Source organism: Homo sapiens, chromosome 5, assembly GCF_000001405.40.
Source record: "Homo sapiens chromosome 5, GRCh38.p14 Primary Assembly".
NCBI classification, from domain to species: Eukaryota; Metazoa; Chordata; class Mammalia; order Primates; family Hominidae; genus Homo; species Homo sapiens.
The window spans coordinates 103,044,353-103,071,025 of NC_000005.10; the positions used below are offsets into that span (position 1 = coordinate 103,044,353).

Here is a 26,673-nt window from a genome sequence, read left to right on the forward strand (position 1 = left end):
AAGATAAATTTTAAAAGTCTGTTGTGCAATTATAGTCTTTGCTGTAGAATCTGCTACAGAGTCTATATGTGGGATAAATTTTTAATCCTTGCCTCATTTATATTTACTCCAAGCCATAGATTAAAGGGACTTAACAAAGTATGCCCATTCAGAAGGGTATAAGCCTTCCGGTAATATTCTCTTTAAGTTAAGATGTAGGCTAACAAGAGCAAACAAATGTTTTGTTTCTGAATGATTAAGGAACAAGAAATGTATCATTAAAATTCCAAGCCCAGGCCAGGCATGGTGGCTCATGCCTGTAATCTCAGCACTTTGGGAGGCAAGGCAGGAGGATCACTTAAGTCGAGGAGTTTGAGATCAGCCTGAGCAACATAGGGAGACACCGTCTCTACAGAAAAATATTTAAAAATTCAGGCATGGTGGTGCACACCTGTAGTCCCAGCTAATTGGGAGGCTGATGCAAGAAGATTGCTTGAATCTGGGAGGTGAAGGCTGTGGTGAACCATGATCATGCCCTGCACCCCAGCCTGGGTGACAGAACAAGACCACATCTCAAAAAATGAAAATAAAAAATAAAATTCCTGGCCCACTTTGTCCCTTTGTTTTCCATATATCAAGACATATGTTTGCCCATGTATAAGATTCACTGTAAAATGCACCACAAATAAAAGTATACCCCATGGGTGCACACAAAGCCCCTTTTCTGGTTTTATTTTCAGTGATACATTACCTGCAATGGTGAAGTTAGCTGTTTCTCAACAGAGTCTGGGGTGGAGTTATTACAGGCTAAAAAAGCATAAAAGTCCCTGGCACATAAGTCAATTTGTAATAAACTCCATTTAGGCTTTTGGTGCAAGTCTATCTTGTGATATGCTCATTGGTTCTGGTTCTTGCATTTCATTATTGAGTTAAAGTGAGAACAAGTGGACTAGAAATCTTACCACTAGTACAATTTGAACAAGTTATGTTGGGATGTTGCCAAAGTTACCCAATGGGTTAACCAAAGGATCCTTTAGGTTATGTAAAGATCTGAGTTTAGCAAGGCAAATTCAATACCCCATCAAGTTGCCCACAAAAGCTATTGATTGTGAAATTTTACTTCCAGCATTATTCTGCCAAGTGAAAGAGGTAGGCATAAGTAAAACAAAACAAAACAAAACACAACACAACTAAGAAAAGTAAGAGTTTCATGATGACAGGGAAGTCTTGATTTGTGATCTTGGAAAAGCTGTCCACATCTAGGATGCCATCTGCATCCTGGGAGAAACTTACCTTGTTATGTTTATGTTAAGGTCTCCAATGGGTATATAGTTCCAAGAGTCTTGAGGGGTCTGTTTGAGTTATGAAATGTGGACCCAAGTTTAAGGTCCCAAAGTTTTGCTGCAATGTGGGTCACAAGGGCAGTCTTTCTCTGATGTCATTTCCAGAAGATACAGACTCTCTGGATTCTAGATTGAAAAGGGTTTGATTGTCTGCAGTCAGTGGATTATGAAAACTTCCTCTACCCATGAAAATACACTTGGATAAAAAACACTGAAGTCTTGCAGCATTTAGTCATGTCAGAGTTTAGGAGCAGGAGATATACGATGTGCTATTTTTAGGGTCATAGACGTTCCAGTCACTATTTCATAAAAAGTCAGCTTGATTTTAATACATTTTCCACTGGAAATGGATCTGATCGTCACTAATTCGCAACACCTTGACAAAGGCAATCCAGTAGATTCACTTAGCTTTGACAAATGCTATTGTATTTGTAATATATTTAAATGTTTTACAACTTGCCCGGTGAAGTGAGTAGCTCTATCACAGGAGATTTCTCCAAGAATGCCCCGTAAAGAAAACAAATATTCTAATAATCTTCTAGCTACTGTTGTAACATCAGCCTTCCTGTAGAGGAAAGCTTCTATACAACCAGAAAATGAGCACTGAAAATAGCAATTGAATGAAATCCTCTTATAAATGTTCAAATGGCTCATCGGGTAGCAGAAATGTACCTGAAGTTTGACTGTCTTCCCAGGACTGTGGGTTTGAGAAACCAAACATTGGTCATAAATCATTTTAGAAATTTTAGGGCAGTCAATACACCAATATTTTTTTCATAATTTGGGCCATTTTATCTCTTCCATGATGAGGCATAGAGTGCAGAGCTTTTAATAATGGAAGCTTTAAAGAGTCAGCAAGGACCAGGTGTTCATCCAGGCTCTCCATGAGTCTACATTTAACATTGGACTTATATCCTCTTAAGTACAAATTTTATTTCTCCAATTCAGGTGCATAGCACTGTTTATTAAATGAGTTATTATAGGTAATCTGACTTGGATCATGGAGTTCATTCAAATTGCATATCTTAACAAATTCAGTTCTAGATGATGTAGCATGAAAATCTACCGGACAAACACGAAGATGGCCAAATAGGAACAGCTCCTGTCTACAGCTCCCAGCGTGAGCAACGCAGAAGACGGGTGATTTCTGCATTTTCATCTGAGGTACCGGGTTCATCTCACTAGGGAGTGCCAGACAGTGGGCGTGGGTCAGTGGGTGCACGCACCGTGCGCGAGCCCAAGCAGGGCGAGGCATTGCCTCACTTGGGAAGCGCAAGGGGTCAGGGAGTTCCCTTTCCGAGTCAAAGAAAGGGGTGATGGACGCACGTGGAAAATCTGGTCACTCCCACCGAAATATTGCGCTTTTCGGACCTGCTTAAAAAACTGCACACCACGAGATTATATCCCGCACCTGGCTCAGAGGGTCCTACGCCCACGGAGTCTCGCTGATGCTAGCACAGCAGTCTGAGATCAAACTGCAAGGCGGCAGCCAGGCTGGGGGAGGGGCGCCCGCCATTGCCCAGGCTTGCTTAGGTAAACAAAGCAGCCAGGAAGCTCGAACTAGGTGGAGCCCACCACAGCTCAAGGAGGCCTGCTTGCCTCTGTAGGCTCCACCTCTCGGGGCAGGGCACAGACAAACAAAAAGACAGCAGTAACCTCTGCAGACTTAAATGTCCCTGTCTGACAGCTTTGAAGAGAGCAGTGGTTCTCCCAGCACGCAGCTGGAGATCTGAGAACCAGCAGACTGCCTCCTCAAGTGGGTCCCTGACCCCTGACCCCTGAGCAGCCTAACTGGGAGGCACCCCCAGCAGGGACACACTGACACCTCACACGGCAGGGTATTCCAACAGACCTGCAGCTGAGGGTCCTGTATGTTAGAAGGAAAACTAACAAACAGAAAGGACATCCACACCAAAAACCCATCTGTACATCACCATCATCAAAGGCCAAAAATAGATAAAACCACAAAGATGGGGAAAAAACAGAACAGAAAAACTGGAAACTCTAAAACGCAGAGTGCCTCTCCTCCTCCAAAGGAACGCAGTTCCTCACCACCAATGGAACAAAGCTGGATGGAGAATGACTTTGACGAGCTGAGAGAAGAAGGCTTCAGACGATCAAATTACTCTGAGCTACGGGAGGACATTCAAACCAAAGGCAAGGAAGTTGAAAACTTTGAAAAAAATTTACAAGAATGTATAACTAGAATAACCAATACAGAGAAGTGCTTAAAGGAGCTGATGGAGATGAAAACCAAGGCTCGAGAACTACGTGAAGAACACAGAAGCCTCAGGAGCCAATGTGATCAACTGGAAGGAAGGGTATCAGCAATGGAAGATGAAATAAATGAAATGAAGCGAGAAGGGAAGTTTAGAGAAAAAAGAATAAAAAGAAATGAGCAAAGCCTCCAAGAAATATGGGACTATGTGAAAAGACCAAATCTACGTCTGATTGGTGTACCTGAAAGTGATGGGGAGAATGGAACCAAGTTGGAAAACACTCTGCAGGATATTATCCAGGAGAACTTCCCCAATCTAGCAAGGCAGGCCAACATTCAGATTCAGGAAATACAGAGAACGCCACAGAGATACTCCTCGAGAAGAGCAACTCTAAGACACATAATTGTCAGATTCACCAAAGTTGAAATAAAGGAAAAAATGTTAAGGGCAGCCAGAGAGAAAGGTCGGGTTACCCTCAAAGGGAAGCCCATCAGACTAACAGCGGATCTCTCGGCAGAAACCCTACAAGCCAGAAGAGAGTGGGGGCCAATATTCAACATTCTTAAAGAAAAGAATTTTAAACCCAGAATTTCATATCCAGCCAAACTAAGCTTCATAAGTGAAGGAGAAATAAAATACTTTACAGACAAGCAAATGCTGAGAGATTTTGTCACCACCAGGCCTGCCCTAAAAGAGCTCCTGAAGGAAGCACTAAACATGGAAAGGAACAACCGGTACCAGCCGCTGCAAAATCATGCCAAAATATAAAGACCATCGAGACTAGGAAGAAACTGCATCAACTAACGAGCAAAATCACCAGCTAACATCATAATGACAGGATCAAATTCACACATAACAATATTAACTTTAAATGTAAATGGACTAAATGCTCCAATTAAAAGACACAGACTGGCAAATTGGATAAAGAGTCAAGACCCATCAGTGTGCCATATTCAGGAAACCCATCTCACGTGCAGAGACACACATAGGCTCAAAATAAAGGGATGGAGGAAGATCTACCAAGCAAATGGAAAACAAAAAAAGGCAGGGGTTGCAATCCTAGTCTCTGATAAAACAGACTTTAAACCAACAAAGATCAAAAGAGACAAAGAAGGCCATTACATAATGGTAAAGGGATCAATTCAACAAGAAGAGCTAACTATCCTAAATATATATGCACCCAATACAGGAGCACCCAGATTCATAAAGCAAGTCCTGAGTGACCTACAAAGAGACTTAGACTCCCACACATTAATAATGGGGGACTTTAACACCCCACTGTCAATATTAGACAGATCAACGAGACAGAAAGTCAACAAGGATACCCAGGAATTGAACTCAGCTCTGCACCAAGCAGACCTAATAAACATCTACAGAACTCTCCACCCCAAATCAACAGAATATACATTTTTTTCAACACCACACCACACCTATTCCAAAATCGACCACATACTTGGAAGTAAAGCTCTCCTCAGCAAATGTAAAAGAACAGACATTATAACAAACTATCTCTCAGACCACAGTGCAATCAAACTAGAACTCAGGATTAAGAATCTCACTCAAAACCGCTCAACTACATGGAAACTGAACAACCTGCTCCTGAATGACTACTGGATAAATAACGAAACGAAGGCAGAAATAAAGATGTTCTTTGAAACCAACGAGAACAAACACACAACATACCAGAATCTCTGGGATGCATTCAAAGCAGTGTGTAGAGGGAAATTTATAGCACTAAATGCCCACAAGAGAAAGCAGGAAAGATCCAAAATTGACACCCTAACATCACAATTAAAAGAACTAGAAAAGCAAGAGCAAACACATTCAAAAGCTAGCAGAAGGCAAGAAATAACTAAAATCAGAGCAGAACTGAAGGAAATAGAGACACAAAAAACCCTTCAAAAAATTAATGAATCCAGGAGCTGGTTTTTTGAAAGGATCAACAAAATTGATAGACTGCTAGGAAGACTAATAAAGAAAGAAAGAGAGATGAATCAAATAGACACAATAAAAAATGATAAAGGGGATATCACCACCGATCCCACAGAAATACAAACTACCATCAGAGAATACTACAAACACCCCTACACAAATAAACTAGAAAATCTAGAAGAAATGGATAAATTCCTTGACACATACACTCTCCCAAGACTAAACCAGGAAGAAGTTGAATCTCTGAATAGACCAATAACAGGACCTGAAATTGTGGCAATAATCAATAGTTTACCAACCAAAAAGAGTCCAGGACCAGATGGATTCACAGCCGAATTCTACCAGAGGTATAAGGAGGAACTGGTACCATTCCTTCTGAAACTATTCCAATCAATAGAAAAAGAGGGAATCCTCCCTAACTCATTTTATGAGGCCAGCATCATTCTGATACCAAAGCCTGGCAGAGACACAACCAAAAAAGAGAATTTTAGAACAATATCCTTGATGAACATTGATGCAAAAATCCTCATAAAATTCTGGCAAAACGAATCCAGCAGCACATCAAAAAGCTTATCCACCATGATCGAGTGGGCTTCATCCCTGGGATGCAAGGCTGGTTCAATATACGCAAATCAATAAATGTAATCCAGCATATAAACAGAGCCAAAGACAAAAACCACATGATTATCTCAATAGATGCAGAAAAAGCCTTTGACAAAATTCAACAACCCTTCATGCTAAAAACTCTCAATAAATTAGGTATTGATGGGACCTATTTCAAAATAATAAGAGCTATCTATGACAAACCCACAGCCAATATCATACTGAATGGGCAAAAACTGGAAGCATTCCCTTTGAAAACTGGCACAAGACAGGGATGCCCTCTCTCACCACTCCTATTCAACATAGTGTTGGAAGTTCTGGCCAGGGCAATTAGGCAGGAGAAGGAAATAAAGGGTATTCAATTAGGAAAAGAGGAAGTCAAATTGTCCCTGTTTGCAGATGACATGATTGTATATCTGGAAAACCCCATTGTCTCAGCCCCAAATCTCCTTAAGCTGATAAGCAACTTCAGCAAAGTCTCAGGATACAAAATCAATGTACAAAAATCACAAGCATTCTTATACACCAACAACAGACAAACAGAGAGCCAAATCATGAGTGAACTCCCATTCACAATTGCTTCAAAGAGAATAAAATAGCTAGGAATCCAACTTACAAGGGATGTGAAGGACTTCTTCAAGGAGAACTACAAACCACTGCTCAAGGAAATAAAAGAGGATACAAATAAATGGAAGAACATTCCATGCTCATGGGTAGGAAGAATCAATATCGTGAAAATGGCCCTACTGCCCAAGGTAATATACAGATTCAATGTCATCCCCATCAAGCTACCAATGCCTTTCTTCACAGAATTGGAAAAAAATACTTTAAAGTTCATATGGAACCAAGAAACAGCCCGCATCGCCAAGTCAATCCTAAGCCAAAAGAACAAAGCTGGAGGCATCACACTACCTGACTTCAAACTATACTACAAGGCTACAGTAACCAAAACAGCATGGTACTGGTACCAAAACAGAGATATAGATCAATGGAACAGAACAGAGCCCTCAGAAATAACGCCGCATATCTACAACTATCTGATCTTTGACAAACCTGAGAAAAACAAGAAATGGGGAAAGGATTCCCTATTTAATAAATGGTGCTGGGAAAACTGGCTAGCCATATGGAGAAAGCTGAAACTGGATCCCTTCCTTACACCTTATACAAAAATCAATTCAAGATGGATTAAAGACTTAAATGTTAGACGTAAAACCATAAAAACTCTGGAAGAAAACCTAGGCATTACCATTCAGGACATAGGCATGGGCAAGGACTTCATGTCCAAAACACCAAAAGAAATGGCAACAAAAGCCAAAATGGACAAATGGGATCTAATGAAACTAAAGAGCTTCTGCACAGCAAAAGAAACTACCATCAGAGTGAACAGGCAACCTACAAAATGGGAGAAAATTTTCGCAACCTACTCATCTGACAAAGGGCTAATATCCAGAATCTACAATGAACTCAAACAAATTTACAAGAAAAAAACAAACAACCCCATCAAAAAGTGGGCAAAGGACATGAACAGACACTTCTCAAAAGAAAACATTTATGCAGCCAAAAAACACATGAAAAAATGCTCATCATCACTGGCCATCAGAGAAATGCAAATCCAAACCACAATGAGATACCATCTCACACCAGTTAGAATGGCGATCATTAAAAAGTCAGGAAACAACAGGTGCTGGAGAGGATGTGGAGAAATAGGAACACTTTTACAGTGTTGGTGGGACTGTAAACTAGTTCAATCATTGTGGAAGTCAGTGTGGTGATTCCTCAGGGATCTAGAACTAGAAATACCATTTGACCCAGCCATCCCATTACTGGGTATATACCCAAAGGACTATAAATCACGCTGCTATAAAGACACATGCACACGTATGTTTATTGCGGCACTATTCACAATAGCAAAGACTTGGAACCAACCCAAATGTCCAACAATGATAGACTGGATTAAGAAAATGTGGCACATATACACCATGGAATACTATGCAGCCATAAAAAATGATGAGTTCATGTCCTTTGTAGGGACATGGATGAGATTGGAAATCATCATTCTCCGTAAACTATCGCAAGAACAAAAAACCAAACACCGCATATTCTCACTCATAGGTGGGAATTGAACAATGAGATCACATGGACACAGGAAGGGGAATATCACATTCTGGGGACTGTGGTGGGGTGGGGGGAGGGGGGAGGGATAGCATTGGGACATATACCTAATGCTAGATGACGAGTTAGTGGGTGCAGCGCACCAGCATGACACATGTATACATATGTAACTAACCTGCACAATGTGCACATGTACCCTAAAACTTAAAGTATAATAAAAAAAAAAAAAAAGGAAATCTACCAAAGTATTTTCTCAGTATTCAATTAATTATTGTCCTTCTTGGGTTAACAGTTTTATAAGCTAGTCTCTTCACTGGAGTTCTGGGAATTCTTACCCATTTCAATAGCATTGACTGGGTAAGAATTCCCAGAAACCTGTACTTGTTAATGTCCTTTCCATTCTTTCCATGAACCTCCTTGAAGATACAACACATTAGGATTATACTTGCTTACAAAGAGGTTTCAGAAAAAGCATCAGAATTAAGCATTTAACTGTGGTCAATAAAGGCTTAAAATGGTCATGGTTAATGACACAATTCATAAGAAAATTTGACTATTTCTGTGGCCTACAATAATTTAACATAATAACCATAATTATAACTGATAGCACATACAAAGACATATCAGAGTTTTAGAAATTCAATATAATATTGGAACACATTAATAACATATCTAGAAAAATATAACTCAGAAGATTAGGCATCATTTCTTATCTGACAATGCTTCTCAGATAATTTAACGTATCAAATATGTCTATTTATTTTCTCTTTCATATGCTTCAAGGGCCCTCTGGAACATCCCAAAGTCAGTTTTAAGTCAAAAAGAATTAATTTTCATTTTGAAATTTGATTTTAGAAAGCCTATCAAATATGTCAAAAGTTCAAAACACTTGATCAAAATAGGATTACAAGTCACTGTAAAATAATAGTTATTCATTTTGCCAAGGTGATAATTAAAACATTTTAAAAATCAAAAACCATTACTCTTTGAGAGAGGAGACTCCGTTTTCTAAATAATCAAAAGACCTAATAAAGACAGCATGAGACACAAAAAATCTGTTCCTATCTCCTCTCTGCCCCCTATTGTTATTATTATTATTATTACTATTTTTTTGTTTACTCGAAGGGTAAAAAAAAAGTTACTCTTTCTTATTAATAATACACAAAAATATTGTTTAAAAGAGGAAACCAAATTTTAGTTTTGTATTAGTGTACTCTTGATATTAACCCTAATTAATTCATTCAATCTTAGTTTAACCATACAAGATTTTCTTTTACTCTTTTTCTTTCTTTTTTAAAAAAGTTTTTGTATCCATTCAATTTTGTCTATATCATTTCTTTCTTTGTTCCTCCGTTTTGAAACAACCTTTAAATAACCTCTAAACTAGATAAAAATCACTTTTTTTAAACAAAAATTACATTTTCATGCTTTCCTTATTATTACCATTCTCACCAAAAAATATGGTGTTTTTTGTACGCTTTGCATACAGAATTGTTTCACTTATTATTAGTAGTTTTAATTACCTACATTAATTAAAATTTTAGCTCTTAGTAACTTCAATTTCCAGTGAAAAACCTAGGTTGTAAGTAGTTTTGAATTATCTTATTTCATTTTAGTAGTTATAGATGAAAATCATTTTATAGTTTTTAGAAATCTCTATTTCCTCAATTTTTTATATTTATTAACAGATCCAAATATATTTAGTTTCTCTGTATTATACAAAAACAAGATATTGAAGTACATAAACTTAAACTTATGATTAATAATAAATGTTTCCATATTTTAATTTAGAAATGACTCAGATTTATTATGAGGACTTAACTTTAAGGTTTTATTTTATTTTATTTATATATATTTTTATTATACTTTAAGTTCTAGCGTACATGTGCACAACGTGCAGGTTAGTTACATATGTATACATGTGTCATGTTGGTGTGCTGCACCCAGTAACTCGTCATTTAACATTAGGTATATCTCCAAATGCTATCCCTCCCCCCAACCCCCACCTCCACAACAGGCCCCGCTGTGTGATGTTCCCCTTCCTGTGTCCAGGTGTTCTCATTGTTCAGTTCCCACCTATGAGTGAGAACATGCAGTGTTTGGTTTTTTGTCCTTGCAATAGTTTGCTGAGAATGATGGTTTCCAGCTTCATCCATGTCCCTACAAAGGACATGAACTCATCATTTTTTATGGCTGCATAGTATTCCATGGTGTATATGTGCCACATTTTCTTAATCCAGTCTATCATTGTTGGACATTTGGGTTGGTTCCAAGTCTTTGCTATTGTGAATAGTGCGGCTATAAACATACATGTGCATGTGTCTTTATAGCAGCATGATTTATAGTCCTTTGGGTATATACCCAGTAATGGGATGGCTGGGTCAAATGGTATTTCTAGTTCTAGATCCCTGAGGAATCGCCACACTGTCTTCCACAATGGTTGAACTAGTTTACAGTCCCACCAACAGTGTAAAAGTGTTCCTCTTTCTCCATATCCTCTCCAGCACCTGTTGTTTCCTGACTTTTTAAATGATCGCCATTCTAACTGGTGTGAGATGGTATCTCATTGTGGTTTGGATTTGCATTTCTCTGATGGTCAGTGAGGATGAGCATTTTTTCATGTGTTTTTTGGCTGCATAAATGTCTTCTTTTGAGAAGTGTCTGTTCATATTCTTTGCCCATTTGTTGATGGGGTTGTTTGGTTTTTTTCTTGTAAATTTGTTTGAGTTCTTTGTAGATTCTGGATATTAGCCCTTTGTCAGATGAGTAGATTGCAAAACTTTTCTCCCATTCTGTAGGTTGCCTGTTCACTCTGATGGTAGTTTCTTTTGTTGTGCAGAAGCTCTTTAGTTTCATTAGATCCCATTTGTCCATTTTGGCTTTTGTTGCCATTGCTTTTGGTGTTTTAGACACGAAGTCCTTGCCCATGCCTATGTACTGAATGGTATTGCCTAGGTTTTCTTCTAGGGTTTTTATGGTTTTAGGTCTAACATTTAAGTCTTTAATCCATCTTGAATTGATTTTTGTATAAGGTGTAAGGAAGGGATCCAGTGTCAGCTTTCTACATATGGCTAGCCAGTTTTCCCAGCACCATATGTTAAATAGGGAATTCTTTCCCCATTTCTTGTTTTTGTCAGGTTTGTCAAAGATCAGATAGTTGTAGATGTGTGGTATTACATCTGAGGGCTCCGTTCTGTTCCATTGGTCTGTATCTCTGTTTCGGTAACAGTACCATGCTGTTTTGGTTACTGTAGCCTTGTAGTATAGTTTGAAGTCAGGTAGTGTGATGCCTCCAGCTTTGTTCTTTCGGCTTAGGATCGACTTGGCGATGCGGGGTCTTTTTTGGTTCCATATGAACTTTAAAGTAGTTCTTTCCAATTCTGTGAAGAAAGTCGTTGGTAGCTTGATGGGGATGACATTGAATCTATAAATTACCTTGGGCAGTATGGCCATTTTCACAATATTGATTCTTCTTATCCATGAGCATGGAATGTTCTTCCATTTGTTTGTATCCTCTTTTATTTCATTGAGCAGTGGTTTGTAGTTCTCCTTGAACTTTAAGGTTTTAAATTGCTGGAAAAAATTTTTGAAACTATGACGTTTATTTACATATTTTTGTGCTGTTTATGTTAACCTAGTTTACTCATTCTTAACAATTATGCTTGAATTTCTCATTGAACAAAGCAGACATTGAAAGAGTTCAGAAAATATCACTTGAAAATATGTTGCTTTAGTATATTATTGTTACCAATATGTAATCAGTGAGGTTTTATGAATTCTTCTTATCTGTCTAAAGACAGAATTTCTGTTTTTTTGTTTTGTTTTGTTTTTGGAGACAGAGTCTCACTCTGTCACTCAGGCTGGAGTGCAGTGGCACAATCTCAGCTCACTGCAACCTCTGTCTCCAGGGTTCAAGCCTCCCGAGTAGCTGAGATTATACGCACCTGCTACCACGCCTGGCTAATTTTTGTATTTTTCATAGAGACGGGATTTCACCATGCTGCCCGGGGTGGTCTTGAACTCCTGAGCTCAGGCAATCCACCTGCCTTGGCCTCCCAAAGTGCTAGGATTACAGGCACGAGCCTCTGTGACCAGCCTAAAGACAGGAACTCAAGAACATTTTCCTAAAGACATTTTCCACAGGAGCTCAGTTGTCAATCATCTTCTCCCTTGGGAGTTCCAGCAACCAGGAAAGATCAACTTTTACTGCTGGAGAGGAGACTTCATCACACCCAGATGGACTTTTTCACAAACCATCACCCATTCTTTTTTTAAGGCCCCATTCATCTTTCCCCCAACAGCTTTCTACTTGTGGCCTAAATTTGCCCAAAGCAAAGAAGGAGGGTGTAAGGCACAGGACCAGCGAAGACACTGGAAAAGCACCTTAAACAGAGTAAAGTTTATTATATAAATTTAAACCAATGTCTTTTCCATTGTGAGAGTTTCTAATGACTCAGTCTCTCTTCCCAGTGAATGAAGGAGATACCCTTACAAATGGAGATTTCCTATATTGTTGTAAATTTATTTTACAAGAGGGTTTCAAAATAGCCAGCTAACTGACACAAAAGTATTTCGGAAATCGAATTAGTTTAATAGGTGGTCTTACTGAGTTCAAGGTAGAGCACATTAAAGACTAGAACAAAAAAAAAGCATTCTCTATGCCTGGACTAAAGCATGGATATCTCAGAAAAAGAAGTAAGCCTACTTTACCTGATGGACCACCTTTTTATATTTTATGCAGTTCTCGTTTCACCTTCAGGGAGTAAGAGTAACTTGTCAGAGACATCTGAACGAGAGCTACACCATCTTGAATGGGGGCTGGGTAAAATGAAGCTGAGAACTACTAGGCTGCATTCCCAAGAGGTTGAGTCATTCTTAGTCACAAGATGAGATAGGAGGAGGTTGACACAAGATACAGGTCATAAAGACCTTGTTGATAAAACAGGTTGCAGTAAAGAAGCTGGCTAAAACCTACCAAAACCAAGATGGCAATGAGAGTGATCTCTGGTTGTCCTCACTGCTACACTCCCACCAGCACCACAACGGTTTACAAATGTCATGGCAATGTCAGAAAGTTACCCTATATGGTCTAAAAAAAGGGAGGAACCCACAGCTCCAGGAATTGCCCATCCCTTTCCTGGAAAACTCATGAATAATCTACCCCTTGTTTAGCACATTTCCATGCTGCTGATAAAGACATACCCGAGACTAGGCAATTTACAAAAGAAGGAGGTTTAAGGGACTTATAGTTCCACATGGCTGGGGAAGCCTCACAATCATGGTGGAAGGCAAGGAGGAGCAAGTCACATCTTACAGATGGCAGCAGGCAAACAGAGAGCTTGTGCAGAGAAACCCCTTCTTACAAAACCATCAGATCTCGTGAGACTCACCCACCATCACAAGAACACCATGGAAAAGACCTGCTCGCATGATTCAATCTCCTCCCACCAGGTCCCTTCCACAACACACGAGAATTCAAGATGAGATTTGGGTGGGGACACAGCCAAACCATATCACACATAATTTTAAAAAAATCATAAAAATAGGCAACCAGCAGCCCATGCTGCTGCTCTGCCCATGGAGTAGCCAGCCATTCTTTATTCCTTTACTTTCTTAATAAACTTGCTTTCACTTTGCACTGTGGACTCACTCTGAATTCTTTCTTATTTGAGATCCAAGAACTCTCTCTGAGGTCCGAATCAGGACCACTTTCCAGTAACATAACTAAACCAAAAGGTTATCAGACACAACTTTCCCTATCAATGAACCATTTAAGCTTTTTATTTGCTTTTTTTGTAAAGTCTCTTCTAAAAGAGGCAAGAGAAATTTTGAAATCTTCTTAGAAGCTTCTGCATATCAATAGACATCCCTGAGTAAGCCTAATTCGGGAGGCTTCATTTTTAAATGCATTTCTTAAAATGTAGTGTTGTTCACTTAGAATGTTTACCATAATTTTAAATTATCTTTGGTATGATTTTGTCATTTTTGTAAGCATTTGTTGTTTTGGGGGTCTAATATTTATACAGTCCATGTAAAAGGTAAGTGCAGCCAGAAAGGTGGAGTACTCAGTTCTTCAGAAATTAAGAATCCCATTTTCACAGAATCTTGGCTTTGGTTCTAATAACTTTGCCAATAACTGTTTCCTACTTCAGTGTACAAAAAAAAAAAAGAACATAAATTCCCTGTGAATTTCTGAAAGCTGAAGTCTGTCCCTCCTGCAGTAATTGTCATTTAATGACAATTTCTGTCTGACCCAGACATCTGAAGCTTCTAACTGGATTCAATCTAGTTAGTTATCGGATCTAATTTGATCATGGACCTAGTTGAGTTTCTGTCACAACTTGCAAACTCAGTCCAGGTCAAAAATTTGCTCAAAGTGAGATAGCTTAAAACACACATCCATGGAGATTTGGAATTAGAGAGAAAACTTACCCACAATCTTCAGTGGTTGTGTGAGAGCAATGGATGCAATGGGTCCAGAAGTTAGCTCATTTGGTCACTTGAAGCTCCTGGCAGTCACTGGAACCTCTACTTTGAATCCCACTTCTGATACAACCTGTTAAAAGAAAAATCTTAGACAAATTAAATTTAGCAGTGTAATTGAGCAAAGAACAATTTGCAAATCAGGCAGCTCCCAGGACTGGAATAGGTTCAGAATGACTCCAGGGCCACAGATTGTATGATTCCATTTATATGAAAGGGCCAATAGATGCAATGTCTGTAGAGACAGAAAATATATTGGTGTTTCTTAGGGCTGAAGTGGATGGTGAGAGGCTGCTAATGGGTATGGGATTTCTTTTTGAGGTGAGAAAATGTCCTAAAATTAGATTGTGGTAATTCTTTCATAACTCTGTGAATACTACAAACCACTGACTTTTCACTTTAGATGAGTTAATTTTATGGAATGTGAATTACACCTCAATAAAGCATTTTGTAAAAACAAAACACAACTGTGCTATCATCTTCAGGTAAATAATTGTCTGTCCCAAAGGCCTGATAACTCCCTGCCACAGTAAGGCCATACGGAAATGCATTCATGGCTTCCACAATTGAGTCATGGCTCGTCCAAATACTGAACTATTCCTACTACTATGTAGGGTCTCACTAAGGTAATTCCCTAGTTTCATATCTGTTAAAACACACTGTATATATCCTGCTTAGGTCAGCTCTACCACCTTCCTGAAGGTGTCCCTCAACACTGACTTCTCTGCTTAGGGAGAGGCCCACAGACATGGCAAAGCTTTTGTTGTGTTGTGTGTGGAAGTCTGTCCATGTATAATTTCCCTGCCTGGTGCTGCTCCTTGCCAAGGATAACCCTGCTCCAAACCTTAACTTTCTCAGCTCAGGGAGCCGCAGTCTTTGAGATTAAAAACCTAAAGAAAGGACAGAAGGCCTCCCAGAGGGGAAAGATGTGAATCTAGCCATAGAAAGAGCTAAATTATGAGTGAGTAGAGATCAGAAAACATCCTATTTTCTGCTGCTTTGCTGTCTTAAATGCTCACGGTATTCCCCAGTGACACATATGATCTTCCAGTCATTCATTACAGTTGGAATAACACTCATATCCTCTACTAGAACCAAACACAACTTCCTCTGCTTGGAGTGAACTGAAATGACATATTGCTTCAGCAAAGCCCTGTGTCTCAATGACCTTGATAATTCAGGTGTCTTAGTAAAAATTACATGCAATGCTAAGATTTTTAAGTTCTATTAATATTATTCACTCCAGGAAATCAAAGAAAGATTTAGAATTAAAGGCTAATAACCTCCTTTGTGGGGTGGAATAGAAAATATTCCAAATAACTTGTGATTCTTATTCTGAAGAAAAAAGTTCTCTTCTCTCCAGTTTTCAAATTGCAAATTAAGGTGAAAATAGAAAAGTGATATTTGACCAACTTGACATATTCTATATAAATTACACTGGGTTGTAAGTTCATTGGAAAAGACAAAGTAATATGTGATTGCAAACAAGTTACTGCAGAGACCTGTTCTACCACATTCAGTTTTCACTGCGAGATGACAATGAGATTCTTGAGAACTTGTCTGCTTTATCTGTGGTCCCTTTAATGTGTTAGCATCAGCTATATCCATCAGAAAGGGGCAGGAAGCAGAATGCTCCACTGCCATCATTCATAAAGTTAGGAAACGTACTTGAGCCTCTCTTTGTTCTGCCAAGGAATGTAAATAATGCCATTTAGTATGTATAATAAATCACGAGAAACTTTAAATCACTACCTAGCAATTATTAACCACAAATGTGGCAGATGAAGGACAAGTGCAGATCTTTGTAGCCAAGAAAATGTCTTAGCCTCCCTAAAGGGACACATATTAACTCAAGGGGTTTTTTTATTTGTTTTTTTGTTTTGTTTTTGCTTTTGCAGTGGGTCTTTCTTTTTTTCAGAGTTTTAAACTGTGCATAAATGAATGCTGAATTCCTAACTCCTGAAGTCCAGATCCTATATCCAAATGACTATTCAACAGATGCACTTAGATGTGTAATAAGCATCTCAAACTCAATGTTAAGAACTGAACTCCCCTTTTCCTCCTCAAACCTGCTTCTCCCAGTCTTCCTCAACTTAGTTATCAGCAACTCCACCCTTCTAGTTATGTAAGTCAAAAATGTTTGGAGTAATCATAGATGCTTCTCTTCCTCTAAATCCCTACATCCAATATGTTAGCAAATTCTGTATAATCTAGCTTCAAAATGTAACAGATACTAACTATTTCTCATCACTTCCATTGGTATTGATGCCATCATCATCTCTTACCTGAATTATTAGCAACAGCCTTCTAACTAGTGCTCCATTGCCTTTTATCAGTCTGTTCCCTTCCCAGCTGCTAGACTGATTTCCTTAAAACATGGAGCAGATCAATCACATCACTCTTCTCAAGTACCTCCAGATGGTTTCCATTTTACTCAGACTGAAAACAGAGCCCATACAATGGCCTATGAGGCTTGAAACAATTTACTCTATCCCCTTTCCTCTCTGATTCCTATCATACTCCCTCTTACTCCGTTCTAAGTTTGCTGGGCCCCATGCTTTTGGTCAAAAATACCAGACCCAGAAACACTTCAGCATCTTTAAACTTGCTGTTTCTTCCCCCTGAAATGTTCTTCCCCCAGGTATACACATGGCTCCTCCCTTCATTTTCTTCAAAACTTTCACACATCACCCTCTTCTGTAAGTTAGTTTTCTGCTCTCCATTGTGCTCCTGAATTCATTAATGCTTCCCTTTGGCAGCTGTAATTTATTCATTTCACTGCTATCACTACTTTATCATATGAATATATGACAAGTTATCTAGTCCATTGTTGCTTATCTAGGTTGTTGTCAATGTTTTGCTAGTACAAAAAAATCCTGCTATAAACATTCTTGAAGATAACTTCTTGTGCAAAATTCCTGGAGTAGAGATAGATTTGTGCATCTTTGATTTTACTGTATAATGTGAAATTGTTTTTTAAATAGTGCTATCAATTTACACACTTACCAGTATTGTATGATTGTACTGTCTGCTCTACAACCTTTCTAATACTTTTATTATTGCCAACCTAGTAGGTTTTAAATGATCTCTAATAATTATTTTATTTCTATGTTCTGGCTCCTAATGAGATTGGGCATTTAAAAATATTATTATTGCCTGTATGCCAACAGGCAACAAATGACAAATTAAGATAATCAAAGGGACTAAATGCAAAGATGTGCATGTAGTATAGGAGAAACCAGGGATATCAGCCATAGAGCTGTTTTCACCTCCAGGTCTAAAAGGCTGAGTGGAGGGAGAAATTACTGGAAAACCCAGAACAGAGACTTGTAGAGCAGGGACTTTTATTTGAAAGAAACAGGCAGAAGGAGTAAGGAAACAAGGAGAAGAACTATCTCAACTTCATTCTCCTCCTGCCTGATCTTCTGCTAAAACATCAATGGGAATCGCCATTGGCCAAACCCAACTGGAAGTCAGAGGGTATTGGAACCCTCCTGATGTATTCCACAGAGGCTAGGATCCTGGTGCAGAATTCAGGATAAAGTAGGTGATATTGTTTAGTTGTGTCCCCACCTAAATCTCATCTTGAACTGTAGTTCCCATAGTCTCCACATGTCATTGGAGGGACCCAGTGGGAGATAATTAAATCATGGGAATGATTACCCCCATGCTGCTGTTCTCTTGATAGTGGGTAAATTCTCACAAGATCTAATGGTTTTATAAGGGGCTCTTCCCCCTTTTGCTCACTTCTCTTTCCTGCCATCATGTCAAGAAGGACATGTTTGCTCCCCTTCTGCCATGGTTTTAAGTTTCCTGAGGCCTCCCAAGCCATGCAGAACTATGAGTCAATTAAACCTCTTTCCTTTATAAATTACCCAGTCTCAGGTAGGTATATAGAGGCAATAATAATAATAATAATAAATTTAAAAAACAAAACAACAGATAAATGCATGAGCAATTTGGCTTTTCTATGAGGTACCTAGTCAACACTTTTGACCATTTTAATATTAGCTTATTTATATTTATAGGAATTCTTTATGTGAACAATTATTCCTATAACAAATAAGGCCAATTTTCTTTCTAATCCTAATGATTTTTCCTTTTTCTTGCCTTAATATGCTGAATAGAGGCTCCAGTACCAAAACAGTTGTAAGTTGTCATTACCTTTAAAAATATGTTTTCAATGAATTCTCCATTGTGTACTATAGTTTTTAAAAAAATTTCCAATGAATAGTAATGTTCAGCAAATACTTTTTCTCCTTTACTAGATTAGGGGTCCACAAACTACTACCCCACAAGCCAAATCCAGCTCCACTATGTATTTTTGTAAATAAAATTGTATTGGAAAATAGACTCATTTATTGAGTATATGGCTGCTTTCATCCTAAAATGGCAGAAGTTTGTATTTCCAAGAGTGTATAGCCCCAAAAGCAGAAAATATTTACTACCTAGTTTAGCTCTTTGCAGAAAACTTTTGCCAAGGAGATAATTGTATATATATGAACACATATAGTTTTACTAGTTATTCTCAGTTTACCCACCTCAAATTAATTCTCTGTCCTTTTCTGCTCTGTTCCCTAGGAGGCTGATTTTTTTGGCTGCCTGTGTTTCCAAGCCCCCTTGCTCTGGCTTCCCATGATCGCTGACTAATGAGGCAATAGTAGAAGATGGGAGGGTGGTATGCCATTGGTCACGGGTTTGACAGTAATTTTTAATTTTCACAGTTACAACTTGTTATTGTTTTGGGATGGTTAGACTCTCTGCCATAACTCTATCTCTCACTTGGTATTTCCTCCTTCAGGTGTAGAGGTTTCTGGCTATTGCTAGTTACCATCCTTGGTTTGTTCCTTTTGAACAGTTCCTTAAATTCTCTTCAGTTATAACCATTTGTGTACTTCATCTCTCTCTTGCCAGGTCTCTTTAAAAATGTAGTCATTAATTGTATATATCTTTTCTAACATTAAATCAATCTGACATTTTGGGAATCAGCTCAATTTGGTTATAATGCATATTGTTCTGTTTGCATCTTTGTATTTGTGTTCCCAAGAGAAAAACCGGTTATTTTCCTTCCTCATTCTGTCATTTCCATATTTTGATATCAAGTTTACACCACCCTCATAACATGAATTAAGAAATGTTTCATTTCTACACTATGAATAATTTGCATAAAGTTAAAATTACATACTTCTTAAATCTTGTTATAAATGTTTGGTAAAATCATCTGACATTATTTCTTCTTAAACCTCTTTGGTAAGTGAAATTTTTCTAAAATTCATCAATTTTATTAAGGTTTATTAGAATAAAGTTGTAATATCCTCTATAAGTATCTGCATCATGTGTGGTTATAACACTTTTTGCATCACAATATTGCTTATTTATAAATTCTGTAGGATTGTCTCTTTATTTTTATTTTTATTAGTTTTGCGAGTTTTGTGTCAATTCATTTGTGTCTTTAAAAACCAAATTTTGGCTCTAGTTCACCTCATCATTGTATGTTTCTTTTCTTTTCTTTTCTTTTTTCTCTTGTTCTTTTTCTTTTTTTTTTTTAGACGGAGTCTCACTCTGTCACCTAGGCTGGAGTGCAGTGGTGTGATCTCGGCTCACTGCAACCTCTGCCTCCCAGGTTCAAACAATTCTCCTGCCTCAGCCTGTCTGAGTAACCGGGACTACAGGTGCATTCCACCACGCCCAGCTAATTTTTTGTATTTTTAGTAGAGATGGGATTTCGCCATGTCGGCCAGGCTGGTCTTGAACTCCTGACCTCAGGTGATCCGCCTGCCTTAGCCTCCCACAGTGCTGGGATTGCAAGTGTGAGCCACTGTGCCTGGCGTGTATGTTTATTTTCTATTCTATTAATTTCTATTATCTTTGTGATTTCAAATCTTTCTTTTGGCTTATTCACTTGTTCTTTTTGTACCATATTAAATTGGATGCTTTGCTCATTACTTCTTGACCTTTATTTTTAACCAATATAAGCACAAAATACATAAATTTTTCTCTGAGCAGTTTTAGTTGCATCCTACAAAAATTTTTAAGCAGTTTTATTGAGATATAATTCACATGCCACCCGATTCATCCACTCACAATTCAATGGTTTGGGGTACTTATATTATTAATTTTTTAAAATTGTGGTAAAAATATACATACCATAAAATTTACCATTTTGACCATTTAAAGTATATAATTCTGTGACATAATTGCATTCACAATATTATGCAAACATCACCAGTATCTATTTCCAAAACTTTTTCATTACTTCAAAGAGAAACTTTGTAATCTTTATGCATTAAAGATTAACTCCCCACTTCCCTTTCCCTCTGCCCCTGATTACTGCTAATCTACTTTTGTCTATAAAAATTTGCCTATTATAGATATTTTATATAAGCGGAATCATACAATATCTTTTTATTTATTATTCACTTAGCATAATATCTCCAAGGCTCATCCATGTTGTATCATGTATCACAACTTCATTCCTTTCTATAGTTGCATAATCTTTCATTGTATGTATATGCTACATTTTGTTAATCCATTCGTCTATTGATGGATCCTTGAATTGTTTCCACCTTTTGGCTATTGTGAATAATGATGCAATAAATATTGGCATAAAAATATCTGTTTGAGTCCCTACTTTCAATTCCTTTGGATACATATCTAGGAGCGGAACTACAGGATCATATGGTAATTGTTTAACTTTTTGAGGAATTGGCAGTGTTTTCCATAGCTGTCACACCACTTTAAATTCCTATCAGTCATGAGAGTTTCCAATTTCTCCATATCCTGTAACAGCCCGATGGGTTCATCTTGCCCACTGCCTAGAAAAGCCAGTGTACTGAGGACAGTAGGTATTGGAGCAAAGAAAGAATTTAATTATCGTAGGGCCAACCAAATGGAAGAATATGAGATAATTCTCAAATCTGCCCCTGCTGAGAATTCAGAGGCTAGAGGGCTAGGGTTTTTTGGGGTTTTTTTTTTTTTTTTTGGTTTTTTTTTTTTTTTTGAGGTGAAGTCTCGCTCTGTTGCCCAAGCTGGTGTGCAGTGGCATGATCTTGACTCACTGCAACCTCCACCTCCTAGGTTCAAGCAATTCTTCTGCCTCAGCTTCCCGAGTAGCTGGGACTACAGATGGATGCCACCACGCCCAGCTAATTTTTGTATTTTTAGTAGAGATGGGGTTTCACAATATTGGCCAGGCTGGTCTTGAACTCCTGACCTCATGATCTGCCCGCCTCGGCCTCCCAAAGTGCTGAGATTACAGGGGTGAGCCACCGTGCCTGGCCGAGGCTAGGGTTTTTGAGGGTGCTTTGACAAGTAGGGGGCTGAGGAACTCAGATAATTGGTTGGGTGGGGAAGAAATCACAGGGTTATTGAGACAGGGCTGTCTTTGTGCAGCTGAGTCAGTTCTCAGGAGAGAGTCTCAGGACTAGGTGGTGTCTCTTGGTCTGCCAAAATGCTAAATCTGAAGAATACCTCAAAGACCAGTTAATTAAGTTTCACAATAGTGATGTTATCTATGTGAGTAGTTGGGGAAGTTACAAATCTTGCAACCTCTGGTTAAGTGACTCTGGGGCAGTAAGCAACTTATAGCAAAGCAAGCTAAGCAATGGCAGGTCATTGTTTATGCTTACTCTTTAGCAAAGTTCAAGCTCCTATCATAATTCTAACCTTGCCTCGTGAATGCAGCTTCAATCTCTGAACAAGGAAGGGAGTCATTTTTCCTTGCCTCAAAGTGTAACTACCAAACTAATTCCACTCATGGTTATCTTGGCCTCTGTGCTAGAATAAGCAAAAACCAATTTAACCTGTGAGGATAGAAGCAAAACAGAGTCATGCAGTTTTCTCTCATCACTTACAATTCTATAAAGGTGATTTCAATCCTAGGCAATACTTGTCATATTTCTTTTTTTTTTTTTTGTAGGATATGATAGCCATTCTAGTAGGTGTGAAGTGGTATCTCATAGTGGTTTTGACTTGCATTTCCCTGATGACTAATCATGTTGAACATCTTTTCATGTGATTATCAACCATTTGTACATCTTTTTTGGGGGGAATATCTAATAAAGGGCTTGAGTTATTTTTTGTGTATTGAGTCATAGTTCTTTATATATTCAGGATATTATACCTTTTTCACATTATATATTTTTAAAAAACATTACCCCTTTTGTAACTACCTCAAGTAAAATCAGGGATTTTCATTTGTTTTTTGTTTGAGACAGGGTCTCACTCTGTTGCCCAAGCTGGAATGCAGTGGCACGATCACAGCTCACTGCAGCCTCAGCCTCCTGGACTCAGGTGATTCTCTCGTCTCAGCCTCTAGGTAGCTGTGACCACAGTCTCATGCCACCATGCCCAGGTAATTTTTTGTCTTTTTCGTAGAGATAGGGTTTCGCCACATTGCTCAGGCTGGTCTCGAATTCCTGGGCTCAGGTAATCTGCCTGTCTTGGCCTCTCAAAGTGCCAAGATTACAGGAATGAGCCACTGTGCCTGGCCAAAATTTGTGATTTTTAACGTATTTGTGATCAGTACAGATTAACGGAAGACTGACTCTTAAGTTCTATTCTTAAAGCCTAGGCAGATTTGCCACTGATTTGCTTCAAGCTGTGAGCAAGTCACATAAACCATCCCTATGATTATTTTATTACTGTTTATTCATCACATAAAATTGAAAAATTAATAATATATGTATATATTTATAAGGATGAAATTCTAAATGGACATATAAAAAATGCAGGATAAAATACTGCCCAGAAACCCAGAGAGTGTAAGTTATATATTACTGTGCAATCAGAAAACATGATTTTGGAGGAAGGGAACCATTCCATTTAGTATTTTTCCCTCCACCACTATATGAAAGTGTTACTGAAGAAGTGAAGAGAATCCAGACTCCCTACTCTTTAGCCTTTTCCGCATTCTCCATTTCAACACCTGGGGCCTCTTCTCTCGGAACTAATAGAAGCTTAGAGGGGATGTAGGGGAGAAGTTGACATGTGATCTCCTCCAGCTACTAACCACGCCAAATAATTTGCTCTCCTCTGTCTGCTTCTGACAAATCCCTTCAAAGTTTAGACAATGAGGTGCTCAGATAAGGGAAATCCCTTGGGCCTAATATTCTTTAACTAACAAACAAAATGTGCTTGGGGAAACAAAGGAAGAAGCATTAATAGGGGTAGCAAGTAAGGGAAGGGGTGAGGAGGACACCGACAGATTAGAAGTAGAAGAATCATCTGGCCCAGGCCTCAAGCTCTGGTTAAGCTACCAATTTAAATACTTATTAATTTAATGGCACTTAACTAATCTTTCCCTGCTTAATATTAACAATGCATAAAGCTAACATTTCTCCCTCAATAATAAATGCATTTGTATAAAACAAAAGTTTGAAACTACTTTTTTTAATGCACATTTTGGTTTTTATTAATTATAATGATTAGAAACTCCAAAACTGGAAGTGACTCAGTCACTTTTAGACATTTGAGCAAAATATTCTGTTACAGCTTTCTGAGCAGTCAAAAATCAGCAGAATGGAATACTTACGCTTTTTACGGCTTAAGATAGGGATCCCAATAAATGTCTGTGCAAAAGTCTACAAGTAAAATTTTCAGATTAGATGTAGGTGAAGAAATGTATTCCTAAGAATTACTGGTCACTTTTTCATTATTCTACTAGAATATAAGTTCTAGGAGGGCAGAAATTTTTATTTGTAATTGATATAATCTCAGTGCCAGTATCTGGAACATAGTAGGCATTTAATGTGTATCTTCTTTGAATGTATAAATGAATTGCATAGTTTAAAAATGTAATATGTTTTCTTTTATAAATCTTAGTGAGTTACTCTTTTTAATGGTAATATAATAAGATTTTATACTTGAAATGGTAATCATATTTTAAAATAACTTTTTAAACAAGGAAATTATTCTCATTCAAAATAGAATCTTCATTTACTATAGTTCAGCATCTCCATTTCCTTCTATATAATGCTTTGAACAGTACCACAAGGTGTCATACAAAACCTCATAAAGACATTTCTAGATTTTTTTGGTCAAAATTTTGTTACATACTTACAGAAAAATTCCCTTAAATCCAGGCAAGAGGGATCCCATTCTGGACCCTTTTCTTGAAAACTAGGCTGTATCCTCCTGTAGCTCATGCCACTCCCTGCTGGGTAAGATCTCAGGGCCCTGAGATATACTCTTCTTCACCTGGAGAACCTCTTTCAGCTCCTTCCTGGTCTGTCTACAGAGGGTGGATGAACAATTGAGAAAGCTTATTCTAAAAGGCCTGGGCTGGTCAAGGGGCACCTCTACAGAAGCTGGGGTCACTTATCCTTGGGAAGGAACAGGATTGAGACAGAGACCAGTTCTCCCTAAGTTGCCATTCACTAGTGTGGGGCTCTAAGGAGTCCAAGAATCCTAGGAACCTTAGGTATATTTGCTGAGGTAGGAAAAGTTTCTTAGCTTGATTTAAACCTCCTAAATATTCAGGTATACAGTATGTGAACCTCCATTTTTACTCTTGACAGGGCACTGCAAACATAAACATTAGAGCTAAAGACTGTATGTATAAAAATCTCAGCTGGGCACAGTGGCTCACATCTGTAATCCCAGCACTTTGGGAGGCCAAGGCAGGCGGATCACCTGAGGTCAGGAGTCGGAGACCAGCCAGGCCAACATGGCGAAACCCTGTCTCTACTAAAAATACAAAAAAATTAGCTAGGTGTGGTGGCAGGCGCCTGTAATCCCAGCTGAGGCAAAAGAATTGCTTGAACCCAGAGGCAGAGGTTGCAGTGAGCCGAGAACACGCCATTGCACTCCAGCCTGGGTGACAAGAGTGAAACTCCATCTCAAAAAACAAAAAACGAGAACAACAACAACAACAAATCTCTGAGTGTTTTCTCTGCATATTTGTTAATGTAAAAATTGTATTTGGAATCTCTGCATTAGAATTCTGAAATTTCAGTAATAAAATCAGCGATTTCTTTGAATGGCATATATTGGCTATTTATCAGGGAATAAAAGTAAAACGAACTTTGATAATAAATTGCCTATAACAGAATTTGCAAAAAAAAAAAAGAAAAAAGAAAACGAAAAAGATGAGTGTGACAGCTATTAAAGCTATCAACTAATATTCTGCTTCTCCTTCCAGGAATATGGTAGGGCTGCACTTACCTACCTGTCTTTGGTATTAGGGTGGCTGTATGGCTAGTTAATTTTTTCCAATCTGTGGTTTAGACTCTAACAGCTTTATAAGCCATAATTCATCTACCATAAAGCTCACTTTTAAAAAGTTCATAAAAATATTCAGGAGTGACATAAATAAATATCATCAATGGTCTGGATGTAATGCTGTTAGGATAAATAGTAATTGAGATAACCATAAAGTAGTTTCTATGGCTGTTTTATTATTTCTCATATAAATTGCTGTTGAATCTAGAATTATTTTATTTCATAACTTCTCTTTCTGTATTTCCCAGCTTTGAGGTAAAACTGATTAATAAAAATTATAAATATTCAGAATGTACACTGTGATATTTTAATGTATGTATACATTGTGAAGTAATTATAATCAGGCTAATTAACATATCCATCACCTCACATAATTAACTTTTGTGTGGGTTGTGTGGTGGGAACACGTAAGATCTACTTTCTTATCAAATTTCAAATGTACAATAAAGTATTATTAACTATGGCCACCATGCTGTACATTAGCTCTCTAGAATTTATTCATTCTGACAGAAACTTTGTATTCTTTGACTAATACCTCCCCATTCCTCTCACTCCCAACCCCTGGGAACCACCATTCTACTCTCTGCTTCTGAGTTCAACATTTTTAGATTTTACATATAAGGCTGAAAAAAATATTCCTTTGTATGCATACATATCACATTTTCTTTATCCATACCTCCATTAGTGGACATTTAGGTTGATCCATATCATGGCTATTGTGAATAATGATGCAATGACCATGGAAGTGTAGATATCCCTTCAACATACCTATTTCAGTACCT

At 38.1% G+C, this 26,673-nt stretch overlaps 1 long non-coding RNA gene across 1 annotated transcript; it reads right to left on the bottom strand.

Moving 5' to 3' along the window:
* Window positions 1-1,278: 1,278 nt before the first annotated feature.
* LOC105379105 (uncharacterized) lies at window positions 1,279-26,673 on the bottom strand. The gene is made up of 4 exons (XR_948633.2): window positions 26,568-26,673; window positions 24,732-24,902; window positions 14,621-14,744; window positions 1,279-1,448 (listed from the first exon to the last, which is right to left on the bottom strand). It is a non-coding gene; the product is annotated as an uncharacterized LOC105379105 (long non-coding RNA).